The 25,543-nt window shown below is 41.8% G+C and overlaps 1 protein-coding gene and 1 long non-coding RNA gene across 4 annotated transcripts in view, besides 6 other annotated features; one reads left to right on the top strand and one right to left on the bottom strand.

The window, feature by feature from the left end:
- The window catches only part of SMYD2 (SET and MYND domain containing 2), a 55,973-nt gene extending 55,130 nt beyond the window's left edge, over positions 1 to 843 (bottom strand). For all 3 annotated transcript variants that reach the window (NM_020197.3, XM_047425700.1, XM_047425702.1), the window contains exon 1: positions 575 to 843. In NM_020197.3, coding sequence (NP_064582.2) covers positions 575 to 747 — 173 coding nt within the window. In that variant the 5' untranslated portion in view covers positions 748 to 843. The remainder of the gene's footprint in view (positions 1 to 574) is intronic.
- Positions 424 to 583: a silencer, noted in NCBI's record as "silent region_1814". NCBI's record gives its function as "represses an Ori minimal core promoter by ATAC-STARR-seq in GM12878 lymphoblastoid cells {active_cell/tissue: GM12878}" and the evidence as "EXISTENCE:reporter gene assay evidence [ECO:0000049][PMID:35858748]".
- Positions 614 to 733: a silencer, noted in NCBI's record as "silent region_1813". NCBI's record gives its function as "represses an Ori minimal core promoter by ATAC-STARR-seq in GM12878 lymphoblastoid cells {active_cell/tissue: GM12878}" and the evidence as "EXISTENCE:reporter gene assay evidence [ECO:0000049][PMID:35858748]".
- Positions 754 to 1,043: a silencer, noted in NCBI's record as "silent region_1812". NCBI's record gives its function as "represses an Ori minimal core promoter by ATAC-STARR-seq in GM12878 lymphoblastoid cells {active_cell/tissue: GM12878}" and the evidence as "EXISTENCE:reporter gene assay evidence [ECO:0000049][PMID:35858748]".
- Positions 966 to 22,964, top strand: LOC124904509 (uncharacterized). Its single transcript, XR_007066876.1, has 2 exons — positions 966 to 3,288; positions 19,038 to 22,964. It is a non-coding gene; the product is annotated as an uncharacterized LOC124904509 (long non-coding RNA).
- Positions 1,323 to 1,888: an enhancer, noted in NCBI's record as "H3K27ac hESC enhancer chr1:214453457-214454022 (GRCh37/hg19 assembly coordinates)". NCBI's record gives its function as "activates a minimal SCP1, AML or CMV promoter by ChIP-STARR-seq in primed H9 embryonic stem cells {active_cell/tissue: H9 hESC(primed)}" and the evidence as "EXISTENCE:reporter gene assay evidence [ECO:0000049][PMID:30033119]".
- Positions 20,336 to 20,385: a silencer, noted in NCBI's record as "silent region_1811". NCBI's record gives its function as "represses an Ori minimal core promoter by ATAC-STARR-seq in GM12878 lymphoblastoid cells {active_cell/tissue: GM12878}" and the evidence as "EXISTENCE:reporter gene assay evidence [ECO:0000049][PMID:35858748]".
- Positions 22,095 to 22,164: an enhancer, noted in NCBI's record as "active region_2530". NCBI's record gives its function as "activates an Ori minimal core promoter by ATAC-STARR-seq in GM12878 lymphoblastoid cells {active_cell/tissue: GM12878}" and the evidence as "EXISTENCE:reporter gene assay evidence [ECO:0000049][PMID:35858748]".
- Positions 22,965 to 25,543: the final 2,579 nt, after the last annotated feature.

The following is a 25,543-nucleotide window of genomic DNA, read 5'->3' as shown; positions in this document are numbered from 1 at the left end:
GGGGGTGTGGTCAGTGCCCACTGGCGTCCCTCCAAACACCCATGTAAGCGTACTTTAACATGTAAGCGTACTTTACAAGACATATACTAAGTCATTAAATTCCTTGGAAGAAACGGCCAATCTGAGGCAGGGCTGGACTGTGGGTAACAGAACACACCGCAGGAAGCATAAGTTAAAGGTGACAGCCCGTGGCTGCCCAAATTTGGGGCTCCGCTGCCAATGCACCGGGAGGGCAGTGAGTGCCCAGGCTTGGAACAAGCCTGGCTCGGAGCCCACATTTGAGGGCAGGAACCTGCACGCCCGGGTTTGCGCATCCAGCGTGAGCAACTCTGAAAACGTGCAGTGCAGGGCGTGCAGCGGGGCACCGGTCCTGTTTCCTCTCGCACGTGGCGCCTGGCGTGGGGCTGCAGCGCGGGGCCGCAGCGCGGGGCCTCCTCCCCTCCCCGCCCCCCACCCCGCCCCAAGGGCCGGCGCTAGGACCCCGCGAGCCGCACGCACTTCCTGGCGCCGCCGTCCAAGCCTCCCGCTCGGCGCCCCCGGCTCCCGCCCGCCGCCGCCGCCGCCGCCGCCCTACCTGGTGAAGCAGTACTCGCAGTGGTTGCCCCGCTCGTTGACCGTGAGCACGTAGGCATAGGCCGGGCAGGAGAACAGCAAGTCCCCCACCTGGAAGGGCTGCAGAGCCCGCAGCCCCCGGCCTTTGCCCGGGCTGCAGAAGCGCTCCAGGCCGCCGAGGCCCTCGGCCCTCATGGTGGCGGCGGGGCGCGGCCGCCGGCTGTGCCCGAGCTGCGGCTCCCGGCGAGCTGTTATTGGAGACGCGTCACCTAGAGCTGCGGGGGGCGGGGTGGGAGCCGCCCGGCGGACGCGGCGGCGGCTCCCCGCTCCCCGGAAGGGAGGGCGGCCCCGCCCGGGCCTCGCGCGCCCCCGCGGGGAGGGGGACGGGCCCGGCGGCCCCGCCTAGCGCCGCGACCCTCGGCGGCCGCCCCGCGCGCGCTCCGGGCCGTTTCCGGTGTGGCCGCGACAAAGAGCCGCAGCCCCTGTGGCTTCTGCGAGGAGGCGTGAGGCGTGTGCGCCTCCGCGGCGTCTCCACGGAGCGAGCGGGACGCGCCCTCCTCCTCGGTGGGAGGGAGGGGGGTCACCTGCGGGGACCAGGTATCCGAGGGCCACCCCTAGACAGTCAGCCTGGCCCGAAGGATGACCAGCCCCCGGTAAATAGAAGGGGGCGAAGCCAGCTCCGAAACCTTACGTTCGCTGTCCCTTGTAAAGACCCTAGAGGCAGTGATCGGGGAACGCCAAGGAGAAAGCGGCAGAGGGGAAACCACAGTAGAGAAGTTTGGTGTGCAGAGGGTTGAAGTGTGCTTTTCCAAGGTTAGAGGTTTTTAAACCTTGTGGCTTTAATGGGAACGTAGTTTGCCCTCTGCTCCTCTAGTGGAATTACATGGACGGAAGAGGAAATGCATTGGCCGGCCCAGCTCACCGAGTCTCTGAGGCATGCTGCGAACGTTGCAGAGGAAGCCAGAGAGAACCTTGCCTTCAAGGAATTTAGGCTGTTGGGGGATAATGCGATGCTGTGGCCAGTGTCCAGGACACTGCGCTAGAGTTTGCAGTAGTTTTAATATGCTTGACCACCCACGAACTGTGATCTTAGAAAAGTCACTTGGGTTAGGAGTCAAAGGATTTAAAGCCCACAAAGCCTGAAACGTAAATCCTATACACATGCACGCTATTACTTTTCATATGAGAAAGGAAAATATAATCCGTGTTCCACATGATTATGTAAAGACTGGAATTGATGTACATGCAGTAAAGACTAAAATTGTGACGAGATCATTTAGCAGAAACCACTACTTCAAAATAGGACCTCAAACAGTTACCTGTGTAAGTTCAGGACTGGTTGAGCAAAGGGAAAGGATTAATATGATTGGAGATGTAAAATCAGTGGAATTTTTGGCATTTCAGTAAAATGTCTTTATCAGCTGGGTGTGGTGGCTCAGCCCTGTAATCCCAACACTGTGGGAGGCCAAGGTGGGAGGATCATTTGAGCCCAGGAATTGGAGAGTTGGAGACCAGCTTGGGCAACATAAAGACCCCGTCTCTATGGGAAATTAACCACCTCTCAAGTGGTGCTGAGGTGGGAGGATAGCTTGAGCCTGGGAAGTCAAGGTTGCAGTGAGCTGTGGTGACTCCATTATACTCCAGCCTGGGTGACAGAGCAGGACCTTGTCTCAAAAGAAAACAAAAAAGCCCTTATTAGTGGCAAACTAAATAAGCCTCTAACCCGTCTTCAAGTAAAGGAAGTTATGATAGTATTTTCATTTATGCATTTTAAGAAACTTCGACTGACTATGGCCAGCAACTGGGATAGAAAGATGGACATCAGCCGGCTGTGGTGGCTCACGCCTGTAATCCCAGCACTTTGGGAGGCCGAGGTAGGCGGATCACCTGAGGTCGAGAGTTCAAGACCAGCCTGACCAACATGGAGAAACCTCATCTCTACTAAAAATACAAAATTAGCCAGGTGTGGTGGTGCATGCCTGTAATCCCAGCTACTCGGGAGGCTGAGGCAGGAGAATCGCTTGAACCTGGGAGGTGGAGGTTGCTGTGAGCCAAAATCGCACCATTGCACTCCAGCCTGCGCAAGAAGAGCGAAACTCTGTCTCAAAAAAAAAAAAAAAAAAAAAGTGGACAAAATGTAGTCCTAGGTCCTTGCATTTGGCACATTCAAGTTTGATAATACCATTAGTTATTGAGTATTGTTGACCAGGCATCGTGCTCCATCATTAAACACATTATCTGGTTTATCTTTACAACAGGCTAATGAGTTAGGTATTATGCCCCTCATTGCCAAAATTAGGAAGGAAACTAAGACCCAGAAGGAATGATTTTCAAGGCCACACAATAAATTGCAGAATTTGGTTTCCAAGTCAGTCTGAATTCAAGGTCCATGTTCCTAACCACAGTGTTTTGCTGCAAACAAACACAGTTCACTGGGATAAGTGCAGTTATGGTGGCTTGTACAAAATGTTCTGTGGTAGTACAGGCAGGGAGTGACAGCTTTAGCCTGCTAAACAGTCAAGACAGGCATCACATTCAAGTAACGTTAGAGCTGAGCCTGAAGGATGGACAGGATTTTGCAAGTGGAGGTGGGGAGAAGAGTTTTCTGGGCAGAGAGAACTGCGTACAAAGACAGAAGACCCTGAAAGCACAGAGCTTGTAGTTGGGGGCCCCTGAGCATCTGGAAGAGAGGACAGGAAATGAGGCAGGAACAGCTGAAGAGCATCTTCTCCAGAGGTGAGTTCTGCCCCAGAGGCCATGGGAGAGCCAGTTAAAGCGTTTAAGTGAGGGGTGGCACATTGAGTCCAGTGTTTTAGACTGATCTGCCAGCAGCATTGTGGGTTGGCTGGGGTGCCAACATTCAGCACTTCATAACTGTTTACATGTATATAAACAGCCTTGGCATGTGAGACCACTGACAGTTTGCATTTGTCTGTGTGATGACCTGATTAGTGTTTACATCCTCCACCAGACTGTACAAGCTCCATGAGGGCAGGGAATGAGTCTGTTTTTGTTACCCTTACATCACCAGCTCTTATCACTACTCCTGGAACACAGAGAGAATGGAAAAAATATTTAAAGGTTGAATAAACGTCATGGAATCTCATTCTGATTTCTGGGGGCTCTAACCAGCAAAAAGATGAAAAGACTGACGTAGAAGTAAACAATTACAATACAGTAGACAGTTTACTGTTTCAATGATTAATTGTGCAAAGTAATCTACCTGTTTACTTTTTTTATTGCAAGTAACTTTTTCCACTTTAATTGGGAAAGATTTCCACAGCTGAGAAAAAAGCAATTACATAGCTACCGAATTATCTTTCCAGATGAGTGCTGGCTTATTCTTGAGGGTGGAGGTGACTGTGATTTGAGAACACTGGAAAAGAAACCGCCTCATTTCAGAAAAATCCCTGTGATGAACTTAAATGACTCGAGATGGGGAAATGGTCACTGAAGCAGTAGCCATGAATTTAGGAGCTTAAATTACTAAGAAAACTGTGTTTAAAATAAACAGCCAAAGAATGGCAATAAACCAGCCCGGGGAGACTGATGACAGCGCTCTTCATGAAGCCCATACTTGTCACTCTGCCACTCTGTAATCTCACATTCCGTGAAGTCTTTGAGCAGCCAGGACCCATCCACTTTTCCTACGCCCTCTGCTCCATAACGTAGGAGGTATGGAATTTGAAAGGAGTGTTTTTGGTTACTTTGCCTCACTGAAACTCAGGAGAAGTGGTACAAGGACGAAAACTCCTTTGCTTAATTTCTCTAACCTAGAAGTTGATCTAATTTATGAGTAAAAGATCCTTCCAACCACAGATTAGCACATGAAAGAAATAGCTCTGGCCTAGGGAAATGAAGCCTTAGCAAAGAAGGTATCCCAGTGAACGTGAGCAAAGGGCCTAGATGCTGTATAGTTCTGCATCTATGTCTACATGTCACTTATTGAGGACATACTATGTACTTACACTGTGATAGATCCTAGTCATACCAAGGTGTAAAGACCAACATACATGAAAACAGTTATGAAGTGCTGAATGTTGGCACTCATAGATATTAGGTTCCAATCCCTGGAATCTATAAATGGCTTCAAAGGGTCTTGCAAATGTGTTTTAAGGATCTTGAGAGAGTGAGAGTATCCTGGAACATCCAGGTGGGTTCTCTGTGCAGTTGCAAGTTTTCTGATGAAGGACAGAAGGAAATTTGACACAGACAGGAGAGGAGGCAGCAATGTGACTATGGAGGCAGTGATGAGAGGGATACAGTGATGGGCTAAGGAATGCTGGCAGCCACCAGAGCTGGAAGAGGCAAGGAACACCTTTCCCCTAGAGCCTCGGGAGGGAGTGTGGCTTTGCCAATACCCTCACTTCAGCCTGTTAATCTAATTTCAGACTTCTGGCCTCTAGAACTATGAGAGAATAAATTTCTGTTGTTTTAAGACACCTGTTTTGTGGTAATTTGTCATAGCAGCCACAGGGAGCTAATAAAATAATCCAATAAAATTTTAATAGGGAGCTGAACAAAGTGCAGTAGGAAGGCTTCACAGAGAACCTGACATTTTAGCTTCTAGAAGGAAGAGGAAAGATTGACCAAGGGAAAGCAAAGTTCCCAAAATGGGCTTAAGACTAACAGTGCAGAGCTGGGCATGGTGGCTCATGCCTGTAATCCCAGCAGTTTAGGAGGCTGAGGTAGGTGGATCACTCGAGCCCAAGAGTTTGAGACCAACCTTGGCAATGTGATGAAACCCCATCTCTACAACAAGAGCAACACATTAGCTGGGCGTGGTGGCATGCACCTGTAGTCCCAGCTAATCAGGAGGCTGAGGAAGGAGGATCGCCTGAGCCTGGGAGGCAGAGGTTTCAGTGAGCTTTGATCATGCCACTGCACTCCAGCCTGGGCAATGGAGCTAAGCCTTGTCTCAAAAATAAAAAAAATAGGCTGGGAATGGTGGCTCACACGTGTAATCTCCGCACTTGGGGAGGCTGAGGCCGGTGGATCACAAGGTCAGGAGACTGAGACCATCCTGGCCAACACGGTGAAATCCCGTCACTACTAAAAATGCAAAAAATTAGCCAGGTGTGGTGGTGTGTGCCTGTAATCCCAGCCACTTGGGAGGCTGAGGCAGGAGAATACCTTGAAACCGGGAGGTGGAGGTTGCAGTGAGCCCAGATTGTGCTATTGCACTCCAGCCTAGCCACAGAGTGAGACTGTCTCAATAAATAAATAAATAATAAAGACCACAGTTGAAATTCACTGGGGTAGGAGAGACTTTGACAGTCCAATGGACAATTTTTCTTGGACTTAACGAATGTTTCCATAGCTCTCACTATGTACCAGGTGTACCTTTAAAATATATTCTCATATAATCCTTCTAATGACATTCCACAGAGGAGAATACCAAATTGAGAGGTGAAGCTAGCTGGACTTCCTGGGTCGAGTGGGGGCTTGGAGAACTTTTCTGTCTAGCTAGAGGATTGTAAATGCACCAGTCAGGACTCTGTAAAAACACACCAATCAGTGCTCTGTGTCTAGCTAGAGGATTGTAAATGCACCAATCAGCACTCTGTAAAAACGCACCAGTCAGTGCTCTGTGTCTAGCTAAAGGATTGTAAATGCAACAATCAGCACTCTGTGTCTAGCTAAAGGATTGTAAGTATACCAGTCAGCACTCTGTAAAATGGACCAATCAGCTTTCTGTAAAATGGACCGATCAGCAGGATGTGGGCGGGGCCAAATAAGGGAATAAAAGCTGGCCACCCAGGCCAGCAGTGGCAACCCGCTCGGGTCCCCTTCCACACTGTGGAAGCTTTGTTCTTTTGCGCTTCACAATAAATCTTGCTGCTCCTGACTCTGGATGTGCACTACCTTTATGAGCTGTAACACTCACTGCAAGGGTCTGCGGCTTCATTCCTGAAGTCAGCGAGACCATGAACCCACCAGGAGGAACAAACAACTCCGGACGCGCCACCTTTAAGAGCTGTAACACTGACTGCGAAGGTCTGTGGCTTCACCCCTGAAGTCAGCGAGACCATGCACCTACCCCAGGAAGAAACTCCAGACACATCTGAACATCTGAAGGAACAAACTCCGGACACACCATCTTTAAGAACTGTAACACTCATGGCGAGGGTCTGCAGCTTCATTCTTGAAGTCAGCGAGACCAAGAACCCACCGGAAGGAATAAATTCCAGACACAGAATCACAGAAGTGACATGTATGAACAAGCTGTCTAGCAGTGAGTCCAGGCTCAGAACCACTCCACCATGCTGCCTCTCTGTTCAGCCAGAGCTACAGCTTTCCTTAGAGTACTTGGGATGAAGGTGGATGGGCAGGAGTGGGCCCCATCATGAAACCCATGAGCCTAGGAGCTAGACGGCACTGTGTAGGCACGTGAGTCAGAAGAATTTTGGCTGACATGATCCGAGTTTTGCTGTAGAAAGTTCATTTTTTAGCTAAATAGAGAATACACTAGAAGGGGCTGAGGAGACAGAGGGAACTGAGGCGCCTGATGCAATAAAGGGTCCAGAGGAGAGATGTTACTGGAATGAACAAGGGCAGTGACGGTGGCAATGGGAAGGAGGGACATGGATTTGAAGAACTTTTAATTAACAGGACACGGTAATTGGGGCGAGTGAAGAGAAAGGAGAGGGAATATGAACCATAAAAAATATGTCCAAGGACAACTGACATCATCACCTCCATCCAGTCCTTCCAGTTCATTCCCCCCCGCCCCCCACTTGAGCCTTGTGTTTATTCCCCAAACAAGATTTTGTTATTTCTTCATTCGCCATATCTCTTGTCTAATCTTTTATTTCCATTCTTAATGCCACTCAGCCCTTAAGTCTTTATGTCCGGTTTTGTGCAGTAGACTCTCAACAGCAGAGTGAGTTCAAATTTTGAGATATTAGCCTGGGATCATACATTCCAACTCTGTGTTTCCTCTTACCCCTTACCGTTAACTTCCCACTTAGTCAGTGGCATTGACTTAGAGAAGAAATGATATTGCAGAATAGGAGCAAAAAGTCCCCTGAATTTAGATTCAAAAGCCTAGGGTTTTGGATTGCAAAAGCCTAAGGACTTGGGGGACTCAGGGCTCCAGTCCTAGCAAATTCAGGATGATGCAGGAGCCACAACTCCCTCTGCCAGAAAAGATTCTCCAGACCTGTGATAAAGGAGAATTGGAAGGAAAGCCAGAGAGAAGTTGAGGGTATTTCTCTGAGAAAGAGGCATGTGCCATAGTTTCCTTCCAGACTGAACCTTGGATGAGTGAGACAACATAACTAAACCCAACCCCGCCCATGGGTTTGAGGGGATTCAGAACAAGGCTGACCTATGTCCTAGTTTTACATTGACCCCCAGACTCCCTGTGTAATAGAAATTCAGTGTGTGGGAGAAATGACTGAAATACTTCATGGGAAATAGGAGAGTGATTTCCCATGCACCCAAGAGGAGCACTAGAGTAGACAAGTTAGCCATCTGCTGTGATCTGAAATGTTTGTGCCACTCCCGCTCACCCCCTTTTCCCCACCAAATTCATATGTTGAAATCCTAACCTCCAACATGGTGATATTAAGAATCGGGGCCTTTGGGAGATGATTAGACTGTGAGGGCATGGGCCTCATGAATGGGATTAGGGCCCTTATAAAAACGGCCAAGGTGGCCGGGTGCGGTGGCTCACGCCTGTAATCCCAGCACTTTGGGAGGCCGAGACGGGTGGATCACGAGGTCAGGAGTTCAAGACCAGACTGGCCAACATGGTGAAACCCTGTCTCTACTAAAAATACAAAAATTAGCTGGGCGTGGTGGCAGGTGCTTGTAATTCCAGCTATTCAGGAGGCTGAGGCAGGAGAATTACTTGAAGCTGGGAGGCGGAGGTTGCAGTGAGCTGAGATCCCGCCACTGCATTCCAGCCTGCGTGACAGAGCAAGACTCTATCTCAAAAAAAGTAAATAAAATAAAAATTAAAATGGCCAAGGGAGCTTGTTTGGCCTCTCACATTGTGAGGCAGAAAGACAGTATGTATTAGGAATAGGCCCTCACCAGACACTGAATCTGCTGGTGCCTTGATCTCTCTTCCCCAAACTGTGAGAAATAGCTGTGGCATTTTGTTACAGCAACCAGAACAGACCAAGACACCATCCAAGAGCACCATTGTGATGACCCAGAGATCTGTGTGGATTGATGATCAAGGACCAGGTGTTCCAACCCCAGCCAAGCACTCACTGCCTTAGCATCACTGTGCCAGCCAAGTGCAAGAAGCAACCCCAGGAAACTGACCAAGATGACATCTCTACCACCCAGGGAAAATGAACACTCATAATGAAAATTATCACAGTTTCTTAAATACACAAGTTTACAGATGAGCGTCATCATTCAGGTCTCCCTATTCTATATGCCTTTGTTACTGCTGTCAAACACATAGTCTTAAAATAACTACATTAATAGTGACATTTCGTTGAAAAACTCCCAGTTGCCCTTTATTAGATGCCTCATCAAGGCCAAGCTCTCTTTTTGGCTTTGAAAACCCAAACCTTAGCTGTCGTACACATCTTGAGTTCTATCTATGTTGTGAAGCCTTCTCCAAACATTTCTTCCATAACAGTCCCTACTTCCTAAAGTAAGTCTTATCTGTACCTTGTTGGCTTATGATCATCAACCATAAACACACACACACACACACACACACACACACACACACTTTTGTGTAGTCCCATGTAAGTTAAAAGGTCTTCAAAGGGAAATACTGTATATTGTATTTATTTCATAGTCTTCTTAGTGGAGAGCTTGATACTTGCTATGTGTTAAATTTGGAAATATTTTCTGAGTGATTGAGGTACTGAAATTGCTGATCAGGCTTTGATGGGAGGTGACACTGGATTTTAACAAGTATGTTACACGGGGCATGTTTTTGAACTTGTACCTAGACTTTATGACACCATATCCAAAGAATGAATACATAATTCTAGGTAGTGAATCTATGAAGTGTTTAAAGAGATCAGTAGCTTTATTCATCAGAATCTATTCTGAAGTAGTTAAAAAACAATTATGTTAGTAGAAGTGATGAGAGTTTCCTAATCATGGAATTAGTGTTGTCTTCGGGTGCCTATGGATCCAGATGGCCAAAAGGCACCCACGTAATGCTCTGCCATCTCACTGGCAAGCAAAAGTTGTGGACTTGAACAGAAAAAAACCTTTGCTTCCAGGCTGAAGTGCAGCATAGCAAAATTCCCCTAACGCATAATTTACAGTCCTCACACCAGCATCTTAACTGCATTGCAGCATTTTTACTAGAGGCAGTTACCCCAGAAGAAGAAACTCTTATCAGTGGGAGGAGTAAGAAAGCCAGAGAAATCATGCTTAAATTAACTATTTGAAGGTCAGATTTGATGAATTCTTAAACTACCAGCCATGCCTTGTATTTGAGGGGGGTTGGTGGGGAGAAAAGCTTAAGCTGACTTTGTATTCATGATTCTGGTAATGTAATAGCTCTGACCAGTTACTAAAAATTCAATAAAAAGGCAAAAAAGAGCCCAGAAAATACTACATTATAACATGTTTGGTCCTGAACTAGACATGAAAGCTTTTAAAATGTTTATCTCTGGTAAGTCTAATTACGCTTTTTTCCCCATCTCCCCACTCCACCCCCGCCCACCCCAAAAAGTACCAAAGGTAACAAATTTCAGAAGTCTTGCATGTTTCTGTCTTGTTGAGAACTGCTAACAACTTCGTTATTGGGGGGAGGCAGTGTCATCTAGTGGCTGAAGGAGGGGGCTGGGCACAGAACTTGACTTCACTGCCACAGGCTCTTTCAGCATCTCACATGAAGCCAGATTTTTCAGTGCTTCTGTGAAATTCCAACTGATTTTATGTGAGGGCAGGGAAATTCCACAAAAAGAAGAGAGAGGTGATATTTAAAACCTTATTCTACCTGTTTTATTGGTTTAATCTTGACATAGAGTTTGAGTATATCAGTCTAATTTTTCTTCTATATGAGGGAAGAAAAATACAGGAGGAAAAAAGTTCATAGCTTTGAGCTGAGGAAGCTGATGTGGTCACATGCTGTCATCTTATTTGGAAGGTATTGCAACACTGCAAAAAAAATTGGGGGGCTTAGTTTTTTTCCTAATAAGGGTTAAAATCAGTAACATTAAATGTTTGTTATTTGGGAAATGATTAAGATTAAAGGTAGATATAACATATTTTCTTAAACCAAAAAAAAAAAAAAACCCAGGATTTTTTCTTTTCTTGATAACAAATTAATTTATACAACTTTAAATACAGCTAATTTAGTGCTCAGGTATTAATAATTATTTTAAATGTTTTGGAAAGTACATAGAAGTCAAGCAAATATCTGAATATACTTCAAATGCTACTTTTTATGAAGTTTTAAAAATTCAGGCTTTTGTTTCACTGGCTTGTATTTCTGAAATATAGCACTTTGAATACAGCAGATGACATTTTTATTTTTTTCTTGCATCAGTTGTTAGTTTCCCTTTACTAGAGGCTACGTCTCTGTCTTTTGTTATCTTCAACATTTCGTAAATTGAAATCAGAAACATTGAATACTGATGAGAAAAATAGATTATGTGGAAAAACAAGAAAACAATTAGCAGAAAACTAAATGCCATATGTTCTCACTTGTCAGTGGGAGCTAAATGATAAGAACTTATGAACACAAAGAAGGAAATAATAGACACGGGGGTCTACTTGAGAATGGAGGGTAGGAGGAGGGAGAGGAGCAGAAAAGATCACTGTTGGGCACTGGGCTTAATACATGGCTGATGAAATAATCTGCACAACAAACCCTCATGACACGAGTTTACCTATGTAACAAACCTTCACATGTACCCCTGAACCTAAAATAAAAGTTAAAAAATGATTAATAAGTATAGCTTTCAGGGTCAAAGGATAAACCAATTGCAGAACTTTTGCATCCTTTCCTTATTTAGTCATTTATTGATTTAACTGCAGAATGCTTTCTTGTGTGCTGTGGAGGAGCCAAAATTAAATTGGAATCAGATCTTGTCCTCCAAGAATTTAGACTCTACAAGAAGAAACATGACATATACTTAGAAAGCTCTAAAAATCTACTAGGATGAAAACCCCATGAGGTCAAGGATGTTTGTCTATTTTGCACACTGCTATAGCCCCAGGCAGAGCCTGACACAAAGTAGGTGCTCAGTAAATATTTGTTAGATGAATGGATAATACAAGGCAGAGCATTGAGCCATGTTAAGAATTGAAAACAAATTAAAAAATCAGTGATAGGAGGGACAGGTAAGTTCCAGCATCTTTGAAGTTATAAGTGTAATTTATAGATAATTAATCTGACAGTCGGGACATAAACAAAATCTCCTGTGTTTTGCTATTGTTTTTGAAATCAATCAACTGCTCTGCCATCCTCTTCATGTAAGATCAGAAACACAATGCTTAATATGCTTAACACATTTCTTCATGGAAATGAGGAAGTTAGAGTAGATTTGTGTTTGTGGGGTCCTTTTAGGTGGCAGAGTGATTAAATGTGGACAGCTAGTTCACTAAACCCCTGATTTCATAGATGTTATTGCCTTGGAGGGAGACTTAAAGGAACTAAATAAATAATAATGGAGGTGTTATGCAAATATGCCAAAAATTGTGAAGATAAAACATGAATGACTGAAGTTTGGGAAGCCTGGGAAGGAAGATCATTAAGGTTATGTGAGTTTTAATGTTTTATTATTTAAATTAACTCCAACCAAAAAATTGCCTTTGTCTTGCCTAAATAATGTTAAATAAACCCAGCTTACTTTCTTATATTCTCTGAATTGTTTTTCAACAACTTTCCGGATGTTTGACTAAATATACACAGTGTCTGTCTTGGGGCATTTTCTTACAGAGACCTCTTTACTAGATAATTGTGCCTCCTAAGAGGCAGTGCCAGCGTCTGCTACGGTTTTTGCCTGTCTGCAGCAAAATGAGAAAAGCAGTGTGCTACTTTTAAGGCTAAACTGACTCATTTTTAAGGACTTTAAAAAATATCTAAGATCAGGACATTTTCAAGGTTAGAACATCTTTTCCTTTTGAACAACGGAGGCTGTAGATGGTATTCTTTTTATTTTTATTTTTTGAGACAGACTTTCGCTCTTGTTGCCCAGGCTGGAGTGCAGTGGTGCGATCTCGGCTCACTGCAACCTCTGCTTCCAGGGTTCAAGTGATTCTCCTGCCTCAGCCTCCTGAGTAGCTAGGATTGCAGGCATGTGCCACCATGCCTGGCTAAGTTTTCTATTTTTAGTAGAGATGGGGTTTCACCATGTTGGCCAGGCTGGTCTCCAACTCCTGATCTCAGGTGATCCACCTGCCTCTGCCTCCCAGACTGCTGGGATTACAGGCGTGAGCCACTGCGCCCGGCTGTATTCTTTTTAATGTTCTAGGCAAAATAAAATTTGTCAACACTCTGTAGATCCCATCTTCTTTTAAAAAATATTATACTAGTCTCTAAAATGTAGAAGCACGGATATTATGAATAGTATTACAGTGTCATTGCAGAGACTACTCTGGAATTATTTCTTAACCCAGATTGTTGCGTCTTCAAATAAATTTACGCTAAATGCTTAGAATCATGACACTTTAACTTATTTTAGGTCTTGGTCATGGACACTGGTACATGTCTGCACCATTTAATATACAAGACTGCTGTGGATCAAGAAGCATAAGACCACATGTAATTGAATAGAAAACTATCATTTATTTAAAGGCATTTTAAAAATTCATTTCTGTCATCACAATTTCATTGTTTTTGGAAGACAGATTAAGCATCTTTGAGGCCAGTGTTATTAACACTACTATATTAAGCATTTACTGATATAGTTTTATTGAATCCTATTTTTTCTTTGACTATAAATGATTTGTTTATGTTACCCAGAGTACTTAGGAAACAAACTATGGAAAAATCACAAGGCCACTGATTTTATTGCTTTATGAGCATTCTATATTAATTATATAAAGTTTTGAAAACACAGATCAACCCAGTGATTACTAGTGTGAAGTTTTTGTTATAGATCTTTTTATACATTTCTTTATGTACATATAAATATTTTATAACAAAAAGAGGATTATATCATACATGCTGTTTTATAACCTGGTTGTAAATCTCTTTCCAGGACAGTAAATAGTTTTCAATATCATTTTAGTGGCTTTATATTGTGATGTTCTATAATATTCTGTCATCTACTTAACTAGTTCCTTGTTCAATACCGTTGATGTCCATTTTTTTCTATTATAATGTTGAAATCAGCATCTTTGTCAAGTAAAATCTTTATTTACATTCCTGAATAATTTGTTAGGCTAAATCCCAAAAGTAGAATTGCTGGGTAAAGTGTATACAAATTTATAAGACCTAGTACATTATATGGAACCAATGTAAAATGTATATATTTATTTATTTGCATACTTATGATAATGTTTACAGCCCACAGATAGAAAAAATAATTTAACTCATTGAGTATCACTCCCTGCATTTCATTTAATTTCCAATAAATTCATCACAGCTTATATGAGACATTTTAGATGAAATCATCAAACTGTGGAGTAAGAGATTCTATTATCATTTAGTACAAAAGCTTTACTAGAGTCAGGGAAACTGAGGCTGAAGTCATTACATATCCTATTCACAGATATAGCTAAGAAGGATCAGTGCCAATCCAATCGTGGACTCTGGTGCTGTCTTTTTGCTCCAAGATGCTCAGGGAAGTTCAAGTTGTTCTTCTTTAGATATCCAAGTAACACTTGAGAATTAAATGCAAAGAAGTGAAATAGACTCTGATATATAAGTTTCACCATTAATTTTGTGGTTGGTGTTATTAACAAGATAGAATATTTAAAAATCATTTTGTGATTAAAATGCTTAGCTCAGAAAAGCTTTCTAAAAAGTTGATTTATTATCTGTAGTTTTGTAGGAATGGCCACCAAATGTATAAGTCTAGTCAAGACTGCTCTTACCTATTTATTATCTATTTATTTTTTGAGACAGTCTCGCTCTATTGCCCAGGCTCGAGGGCAGTGGCATGATCTCAGCTCACTGCAGCCTCTGCCTTCTGGGTTCAAGCAATTCTCCTGCCTCTGCCTCACAGGTAGCTGGAATTACGGGAGTCTGCCACCATGCCGGGCTAATTTTTGTATTTTTAGTAGAGACAGGGTTTCACTATGTTGGCCAGGCTGGTCTCGAACTCCTGACCTCAGGTGATCCGCCTGCCTTGGCCTCCCAAAGTGCTGGGATTACAGGTGTGAGCCACTGCACCCAGCCTATTTATTAAAAATAGAAATAGCTTTATTGCTTTTTCTAACTAAATAAGACATATCATTGTGAGATCAATAATAAAAATATATAGAGTAAAAATGATATATAATCCCACCAACCAAAGATAATTACTATTAACTTTTTGTTTATATCCATGCCATCTTTTACATATATATTCTTTATGTGACCTATCTCTCTATATAGAGAGATAGCATACAGAATTTCATACTGTTCTATAATCTACTTTTTCTCAAATGTCATTGTCATTTCTTATTGTTAATAAATACTGACCTGGCGGGGCGGGGTGGCTCACGCCTGTAATCCCAGCACTTTGGAAGGCCGAAGTGGGTGGATCACGAGGTCAGGAGATCAAGACCATCTTGGCCAACATGATGAAACCCCGTCTCTACTAAAAATACAAAAATTAGCTCGGCATGGTGGTGTGTGCCTGTAATCCCAGCTACTTGGGAGGTTGAGGCAGGAGAATCACTTGAACCAGGGAGTCGGAGGTTGCAGTGAGCCGAGATCGCACCATTACACTCCAGCCTGGTGACAGAGTGAGACTCTGTCTCAAAAATAAAATAAAATAAAATAAAATAAATATTGACCTATATCATAATGTAACGGCTACATGCTCTTTTATTGTACAGTAGTAGTTTCTTTAACCAACCCTCAGTTTATAGACATCAGTATTGTTGAAGGTTTTTAACTAGTTGAACAATACTGCAACAATCTTTTAAATAGTTGTTTAAATATCTTTAATAAATAAATTGCTTTTCTTTTGGGAAATGTTACAGGTAGTATTTTTTCCTGGATATTTACAATTCACATTCATGTCATAAGCAAATATTTACTAAATACCTACCAATTATGCTAGGTGCTGAGATTAATATTTTAATGGCTCTGAGAATTCTTTTTTTCTTTCTTTCTTTTAAAATAGAGACAGGGTCTCCCTATATTGCCAGGCTGTTCTCGAACTCCTGGGCTCAAGGGATCCTCCTGCCTCAGCCTCCCAAAGTGCTAGGATTACAGGTGAGAGCCACCACGCCTGACCGCTCTGAGAATTCTTATAGTAAAGAAACCTTTTTAGTTTTACGTGATTTAAGGTTTCCCAACCTTCTTTTGATCGTGGAACCACCCCTTTACAAAATAGAATATCTACTAATATTTCACTGGTCTTATCTGGAAATAATTTGGAAAACACTAACCTAGAATCAATCTTGTTGAAAACTACTAACAGGTAGATAAGTACCTGTATCTACCTGTTATTTTTCTATGAACTCTGAAAAAATCTTCAGAATTATTTGGAGGAAAGATATGCTTTAGGCATTTCAGAGGAATACATCTTTGATCTAAATTTCCAGATTAACTTCCAGATAAGTAGTATTTTGGTATGAATGTTTTGATGAGCACACTGGAGTTGTTTTTCTTTTTTAAAATGATATCCATATCATTAGAACAAAAGGGATACTTGAAAGTAAAAGGGGAATGTGGGATATAAAGTTTTTGGCTCATCGGTGGATTAGTTGGCATGGGGGTAGAGTGCAGAGAAGTGAATTCCCATGGGGAAACAGAATAGATTAGGAGGAGAAAGTCAGAGAGATAGGAAAGTATTAAGAGGAATTAAGGAGGGAGGTTATGAGGACTTTTGCAGCAACATGTGAAATAACTTTTAAAAATCTGGTAGAAAATGAAGGATACAAAATCCTATTCATAGTGTATAAAAACCAATAAGAAAAAAATCAGAGGAAAAATACAATAAAATAATAGTGTTTGGATTGAGTCCTTTTTTCCCTCTTCTCTAATTACCGTTTTCATTTTTATTTTAAAAATATACAATAAAATTGTAAAGAAAAGAAATACTAAAGGATCAGACAAAATTAGGAGAAGAGAGGCTTATGGAGGAGGAGGAAGAGAGTGGTTGAGTCGAACAAAGGCAACAAATGGATTAAAGTGAACAAGGATAGAAGAGAGAACATTCAGTTTGGCTTGGAGGAGATCATTAATGGCTCAAGTGCTGTGAGGTGGACAAAAGCCAGCCTGTGGTGGGGTCAGATGAGAGAATCAGGGAAGAATAATTTTTTTAGCACCTAGGATCATAATAATTCACTTAGTGGTTCCCCCCCCAGCCACTATTACTTTCGTTCTGGTTTTATCATGTTGGGATTTTGCCTGTATCAGTTTTTTTTTTTTCCCCAGGCGCTGATAAATGAAAACCTTAAAAAAAGAAATCCTATGAGTAAGTTTCTTTGCCCTTATTTTTGAACTGAAAAATAAAGAAATAATAAATTCTTTTTCTGAGCTGTTCTATGTGCTAGAAATGCTCCCATATAGAAATCTTAATACTACACTGGGCATGCCATTTAAAAACAGAAGAACTTGATCGCCCAAGGTCATTTCACATGCCTTTTTTCCTAAGTGATTTGTGTATATTTTATCCATAAAAGACAAATTATTATGAAAGGATGTGAAATATAGGTTTAAGAAACTCAAAGAACAAAGTGCATTCTTTGCTCTTTGAATTTCTTAAAATTAAGTTCTTAAGACTCCTGCTGCTTACCTTCAAACAAGCAACCTTGAAACTGCTCTATGAAACCCAGTTAAAGGACGAACCAAAGAGTTTCACTTATTAAAAAAAAAAAAAAAAAGGCACATGGGAGAGAGAACATTCAAGTCTTCCAGTATCCATACTTATTAACTCAATTGAATGCCTGTGGTGGGTCTCCTGGGAGCACACAGCAGCAGCCTCTTTGTATTACAACTCAGCCAGAAGCATGTATTCCCTTGTAATTAAGGCCAAGGGTGCAACCAGTGATGCGAAAGGAAGTAATTAGATGGATTATTCAGTTCCCTCAACATTTCTCAAGAGTTTGTGTGTTTGTGGTTTTGTGTTTGCTTGAAGTCCCTGTATAGCTCCCTCGGTTCTCCTTGATACTGTAGGTCCAGCCGCAGATGTTAACAATAACTAATATTGAAACAGCACTTATATGCCAGGTGCTGTTTTAGGGGCTTTAGATATATTAGAATCCATCGCTTGAAAACTGTATGAGGGCTAAGTGTTAAGCCCTAGGTTCCCAGGAGCAGACACTGAGAGGTTTAAATGCATGGGATGTATCCCTGAGGTGGTTCCAGGAGGGACCTGTAATGGATTGGGGAAGGTAAGACAGGGAAAGGAGGCTGCCAAGCAAGGCTCTGTCTCAGGCCAGGGTCCCTCAGAGGGTAGCTTCAGCCTGGTCCCATAGCATGACTCTAGGGTGCAGGCTAGGAAAGGGAAACTGGCGCTCATCCTGCTGCACAGTCATTGGTTGACAACCTCCAAGGATGGCACAGAAGGTGTATATGTGTGATCTGTGGAGGAATGTGTCAGGTGCACACCGAGAGGAGTGCAACAGAAACACCTACTTTATCTGCTACAGGTAGACACTATCGCTGCCCCACCATGTGACAGCCAGGCCACTGAGTCTTGCCCAAGATCTCAAAGCTTGTAAGTGGAAGAACTGGGATTTGAAAGCCTGCCGTTTGGTTCCAAAAGCCATGTGCTTTTAACCACTATGCTATTTTGGATAAGATCTGATCTTTACCATGTGCTATGGTATTATCAATAAATTTCTACAATTTTCTCAATGGACTATGTAACATAAACTATTTTGATTTTATTGGATTTTTAAAAACGCTGAAAGTATATCTGCGATGAAATCCATTAATACTTTGTTGAACTAAGCTTCAGATACCCAAGCCCCTAAGCCTAAGGTAAGTTCAGAGAACAGACAAAATATTAGACAATGGTATACTTTGAAAAATGTAGTACTCCCAACCCTCTCTGACAGAATGTGCCCAGTTCCTATAGAATTATGTAAAAAGTGATTCCATAAGTCTTTTTTAATGAGACATATTTATACAGAGCCTATTTTTACATTAAGATGACAGTTTAGAATGCCGCGTTGATTCTCTATATATGCATCATCCTCTTAAACCTCACCCCCACGGTTTTTTTAGTTTTGGTGTAATGCAATATCTGATTTCTGAAAGTTTTAAAAATTTCTTTGTTTTAACTTTAGAAGAGTTTGCTTTATTTTCACTAAAAGAATTCTCTTTATTTTTCTGTTCTAAAAACAGGAGTATGTATAATACTTGTCTATCGCTTTTGCTTGATAAAAAGAGGGAAGGTCTGTGCATAGCCGTGGGTGACTAATTTCGTAACCTCTTCCAGATTCTTAGATTGGCGGTGCTGGACAGCAAGTGACCAGAAGAGAAACAAGTGGTAACCCAACCTGCATGAAGAAAATTCAGTAGAACCTTGCTGGTGTAGAGAAGATGGCACAAAGAAGAGTGAGAACACTTTTATGAAAGGCTTAGGAAATGTTGAAGTTTTCCAGTTTTCTTCCTATGTGAAGGAACATAGTGAAGGGGGAAAGGCCCCTTTTTTGCACATACCTGTGGAGGGTAACGCTGTGTGGGTGCATTTAGCCCTAATCTCTGCCGTGGATCAGGATCGTTGGTTGTGGAGGAGGAAGAAGAGAGGGAAAGGCTTGAATACTTACAAAAGATTTTGAGAGCCTAAATGATGAAAGCTAGCAGTTCTACAGTGTTTACTAAGTGCAAGAAACTGTTGTAAGAGTTTTGCATATATTAACTCCTTTGATTCGATTCTAATGACCCTATGAGGTAGGTGCTATTATTATCATCTCCATTTCACAGAGAAGGAAATTGAGACACAGAGAGATTAAATAACTTGACCAAGATCACACAGCTATAATAGTCAATTGTGGAGCTGGGATTCAAGCTCTGGTGTCTGCTTTCAGATTCATACCCTTACCCATTACCCTGTACTACCCATCTGGAATGTGGAGAACGTGCTGATAACATTGCTAATAATCATCTGTCGTTTATTTCTGACTACTCTCCAATTTTTTTAAGAGACCTGTATCTAACCTTTGGTGATAACTAAACTATAGGAGAAAACTTGAGTTCTGATAGTAAGAAACATTTACAAAATGGTCTGAAAGTTGATTTGAAGTCGAAAACCCTTATATGTGTTTGTAAATTCTAGAGAAGAAGTGGCAGCCAGGCAGATGAGCTCTCTGTTCTGTGCAGAGCTGATGGTACTCCCTGCCCTGGGGAGCCGGCACTGGCAGCGATTACATCACTAAGTCACCCTCCATACTCAGCTGCTTGCTAAGAATTAAATTGCTGGCACCAGATCTGGTGAGCCTCATGTTACCATGGCTTGTTTGTGGAGAGCACATTAGTGTGATATGTTCAGTCTTCAGAAACAGTTAAACATCAGCTTTATTACCAAAAAGATAGTGTATGCTGGTATTACTCCTGGTTATTCGGTTCAGCTCCTCAAGTGAACAGTCCCACACCTATTTAGCCCATTGAGTCAAGCTGACCTCCTTTCCCGGTTACGGGTTTGTGGACAGGAGTGACAGGCGGGTTCACTTGCAAGGGAGCCAGAGAGCCGCTCGTGCCTCTGCTGCCCTCTAGAGGCGTGTCAGGCCAAGGCCGCTCATCTCTGAGCCTTGCCGGCGGATTGCACCACCAGTCCACCTTTTGTCTCCCTTTTGAATCTCCACTGAACACCATTTGTCAAAAGGGTTGAGGCAAAACCACTCTGAGCTTCCAAAACAATAATAAGACTTAATTAGAATTCCAAGCTAAGCCATTGAGAGTTGCTGTTTATATTGGGGAAGATGTAACACTTCAGTCCTGTGTTTTTCAGCCCCTACATCTCAACCATCAAAGGGAAATGAGTCAAGGTTGTTTTAAAACTATAAATAGAGCTAACACTTACAAAGCAATTGCCACATGCCAGGTACTATTCTAAGCGCCTCGCATATGATGACCTATTTAATGAGGTGGGTGGTATGAGCATCTCTATCTTATAAATAGGGGAACTGAGGCAAGGGACTGTAAGTATTTCTCACAGTTCATGGGTGGTGGAACTGGCTTTGAAGCCCGGTAGTTCTGGCTCCATGAACTTGGCTTATAATCACTTTACTGTACGGCCTCTTTTATAGCTATCGAGGCATGCATTGCAAGTCCAATTTTTAGGTAAAGGTTTTGTTAAAAATCTTTAACCTTAATCTTGTAATGAGGAAACAATTGGCCCAGACCCTTTAAAAATGTCAATGACGTAATAAATAAAGAAGGAGAAGGAGGAGGAGGAAGGGGAGAAGTATTTTAGAGCTATGACAACTAAATATAATTCATTGTCCATGGTTAGACCCTGGATATAAAGAGACAAAACTACAAACAATATTATTGGGAAATTAGGAAAATATGAATATGGGCTATATTTTGGATAATCATATTAATGTTGCATTTCTTGAGTATGACCTCTTATTGCTGTTATATAGCAGTATGTCCTTGTTCTTAAGTGATACTTGAACTATTTAGGGGTAAAATATCATGATATCAGCAAATTACTATCAGACAATTCAGGAAAAAAATATACCTGAGAAAGAAAGAGAAAGCAAATGTGGCAAAATGTAAAATAATTAGGAAACTAGGTAAAGGGTATATGGTGTTCATTATGCTATTTTTAAAACTTTTTTCTAGGTTTGACATTTTTAGCATAAAAAGTAGAGGCAAAATAATTACTTATTTCAGAATAAGAGGTAGCCATGGCTACACCCAAGGTATCTGCCTGGACACCACAAGTGGTACAAATAAGCAAAGTGTGTTAGTTGGGAATCCACAGGCAAGCTTTGAAATCTGTAGACATATGTTATATGAAAGTGTATGAGATATTACATCTTATTTATTCATGTTTTTCCATTAGTACTAGGAATTACATGCATCATTATGTATTTTCAAAAAAGATCAAGTTTCCATCCAATAGAAAATAAATAGTGCAAATTACAAAGTCTTGTATGAAACTAAATAAGGTCTAATTGTAGTCTTGGGATTATTCTGTTTTTATCATCAACAAATAAGGCATTTGTAGGAGAGTGCCTGCCCTATTTATTCAGCACTGTGTTCCAGGTACTGATTTAGTGCTGGGGATACACCAGTGAGCAAACCAAGATCTCTGAACTCATGGTGCTCGCCTTCTGATGGGACAGAGAGACAAATATTATAGCTCAGTAAACTGCAGAGAATGTTAGAAAGTGATTATTGCCAAAGAAAAGTAGAAAAATAGAGCAGCATAGTGGGAAATTGGGACAGGCAGTTGCAGAGAAGAGGGTTTCAGTTTTAAAGAGGATCCCCAGGGTAGGTTTCATCAAATATGACCTCATGGCACCTGGAAGGAAAGTAGAAGAGAACAGAGAAGAACAACCCTAAGGTGACAGCATGCCCAGAGTATGGCTAGAGCTGAGTGAGCAAGGGGGAAAGAGGAGAAGGATATGAAGTCAGAGAGGAAATAGAGGATGAGTTCACAAAGGTCACCATGAAGGCTTTGGTTTTCATGCTGAGTAAAATAGGAAGCCACTGGATGATTTTGAGCAGAGGAGTGAGGTGATCTGACTTAACACTTAAAAGGATCAATCTCGTAGGGGGACAAAGGTGGAAGCAACATCTCCCGTTAGGAGCCTATTGCAACAATCCAAGCAAGAGAGGAGAGTGACTCAGCACAGGCTGGTAGAATTGGTGGTGGAGAGATGTGATCAGATTCTGGATATTTTGTTGGTAGAGCCAACAGGAAGGATTTGCTGATAAATTAGATGTGATGTTTGAGAGAAAAAGACAAGGGTGACTCAATATTTTTGTCCAGAGCAACTGGAAAAATGAAGCTGTCATTCCCACAGATAGGGAAGACTAGGTAGAGCAGATTTTGAGGGAGAAGATTAAGAGTTCAGTTTTGGACATGCTGAGTTACAGCTGTCTATCAGACATCCAGATGGAGATGTCATAAAGGTAGTTGGATATAGAAGTTTTGAGATTGTAGAGAGGTCAGGGCTAGAGATTTAAAACTGGTCACAATTGGTGTATTGATGGTATTCATAGCCGTGAGCCTGGATAGGATGACCAAGACAGTGAGTGTGGATAGAGAAGAGAAGAGTATTAAGGAATGTGCCCTTGAATTCTTCTCTTTTATTGTTTATTTATACTTGTTATGTTTCTCATTTTGTTTGGAAAATTATTACGCTGTGTAAAATAAAAAGGAGAGTTGACAATTATTTAAATTACTGAAGATAGTCAATCAAATAATTAAATTTGCAAAGTATATTAATTTTCCTTAATTACCTGCTCTGATTTTCTACAAATGTCTGTATTATTCAGATACTATGACATCTACATTTTGAGCTGTTAGTGTTATTTAATCAATAACATACTCATCTTTAGGACAGTAATGTTCAAAAATGCTTTCAAGCAATTCTCTTGGTGGAGGAATAGTCTGCATCTGTGTTTATTTTCTTAAATTAAGTGTGCTTTGTTGGAATATGAGAATTCTTTCCTCTTTTTCTGATGGTTATGACTTGACAGTCCTCATTTTGGTGATATAGTAAATGGCTTTTAAAGGTTATGCCTAAGCATAGCTACTATCAGCAAGGACAGAGAGGAAAGGAAATGCTGTCTCTGGGGGGTTGGGCGGAATACACACACACACACACACACACACACACACACACACACATATATTTGTTATTTTCATAAAATAAAAATAACTGTTGAAAATGAGGAGTTTACTCAACTGCAAATAAGTCCCTGTGGTGAATGTATTAGTAAGTTTTGAATTTTAGTCTCAGACCCGTTTTAACACTCTTATAACTGGGTAACTGTTATAGCTGGTTAACTGAATAACTGGTTAACTAAATGTAGGCAAGCTCCAGAACATATTTTCCCACCACAATACACTGTATAATGGTAGTAGACAAGCTAGATAATACAGACATATGATGAGATTTATCAGTAGAGGAAAAACCCAATTTAATCTAACTTTGGAAACACAGCGGCTTATTGAGTCATATGTTGAAAAATACAGAGGTAGACCAGGCTTCTGTATTTTTGATCAAGAATCTAGTTGTTTTATTTCTTTCTTTGTTTTTTTTTCTTGCTTCTCTGCTCTGCCATCCAAATTGTTGTCTTCCACCCAGTGCTGGCTTTCTTCGCAGGTCTAGAGATGCTGCCAAAAGTAAGCTGGGCTGTTTGCTTTCTTGAAAATGCCCAAGGAGAAGAAATGCCTTTCTTCAATTTATCAGGGAAGTGATTTGAGTTTAGTGCCAATTCTTGTGGCCGGTATAATGCCATGTGTTGGCAGTCTTATGGCCTCAGTCACCTGAGCCCTGTGACAAGTTCAAAGGGATTCCCTTGACTTGCATTTTCGGAGATGTTGGTGGCGCCAATGCCCTTTGAAGCACGGGCTGCTGTGCAGCAGGGGTCGGGGGTCATGGCTGTTGGGGAGATGAGCATCATGGCACTCCATGTGGCCTAATCACCCACATAATCCAAACTCAATTAATATTACCTTTGGATTTATTGTGGAGACTCAGGTTCCTAGCTTTGGTTGATATTTCTCTCTCTCGGGGGCTTTCTCCATTTGGTAGTGATAGAAAACCAGCTATATCTAGTTATGAAAAAATCTGAACTAAAACTCAGTAGACATGGACAAAAGGAAGATACTTCACTTTTTCCTTAGCTACTAGTCAATATAAACAAATGCCTTTTTACCTCTATAGAGAATATCTTTTTTCCTGTTACTTAGAGCAGATTTAGAACAACATATACATAAATATCATTTTTATGTGAACACTTCTCTGTCACTGATGTTGTTTGAATGAATTTTTATGATAGAAGCTTATTTCCAACACTTTCAAATTCCATTATATGGATGACTCCAAGAAAGTCATTATATTTACGTCACAGTTTAATGGGGGCTTTTCAACTAAAGTTGATGAACTGAACATATATGATTACCACAGCTTCCTCACTGACACCATACTAAAATGAAAGTAAAGGTGTTTTTAAGGGCATACATTCTCAAGGACAAAGAGAATTTGAGGGGAGACAACAACAACAAAATGTTGGAAGTTGAAAGGCAATGGACAAATTCCAGATCATGAAAACTGAAAGCTTACAGTGGAAAAAGTATAGAAGAAATCCAGTTTGAGCCTCTAAACCACCAAGGGCTCAGGAACTGGCAATATGAGGTAACTTTGAAAGTGAAGGTGTATACAGGGTGGAAACAGAATTGTTGATGAGATTGTTAAAGAATCAGATAAGCCCCACATCGGTATTCTCCTGCTGCTTTGAAGGTGGGCAATTGCTCCCCTTCTCAGTCCTCCACTCCATAATATAAAGAGAGGAGATCTATTTTCTGGAGAGGTGAACCAGAGGATCTCTGGATGGGGGTACACCAGCACAGCTGAGGGTAGAGGATATAACTGGGTAATCAGGTGGAACTCTATACAATAAGAGGGGTGAAGTCCAATTTCATTGCCTCTCCAGACTCCCAAAATTCCAGGAGCCATGCAGAAGATTGAAAAGTCCCTTCTTTGAGGAATCCAACTAACCCAAGAGCATGGACCTAAAAGTATTGAAAGCCAAAGATCCAGTAATGAGAAGACCAAGCAAGGCTGGGCGCGGTGGCTCATGCCTGTAATCCCAGCAATTTGGGAGGCTGAGGTGGGTGGATCAGCTGAGGTCAGGAGTTCAAGACCAGCCTGGCCAACATAGTGAAACCTCATCTTTACTAAAAATACAAAAAATTAGCTGGGCATGGTGGCTGGCACCTGTAATCCCAGCTACTCAGGAAGCTGAGGCAGGAGAATC

Source organism: Homo sapiens, chromosome 1 (genome assembly GCF_000001405.40).
Source record: "Homo sapiens chromosome 1, GRCh38.p14 Primary Assembly".
In the NCBI taxonomy this organism is placed as follows: Eukaryota; Metazoa; Chordata; class Mammalia; order Primates; family Hominidae; genus Homo; species Homo sapiens.
This window is presented reverse-complemented; position numbering and strand designations above follow the sequence as displayed.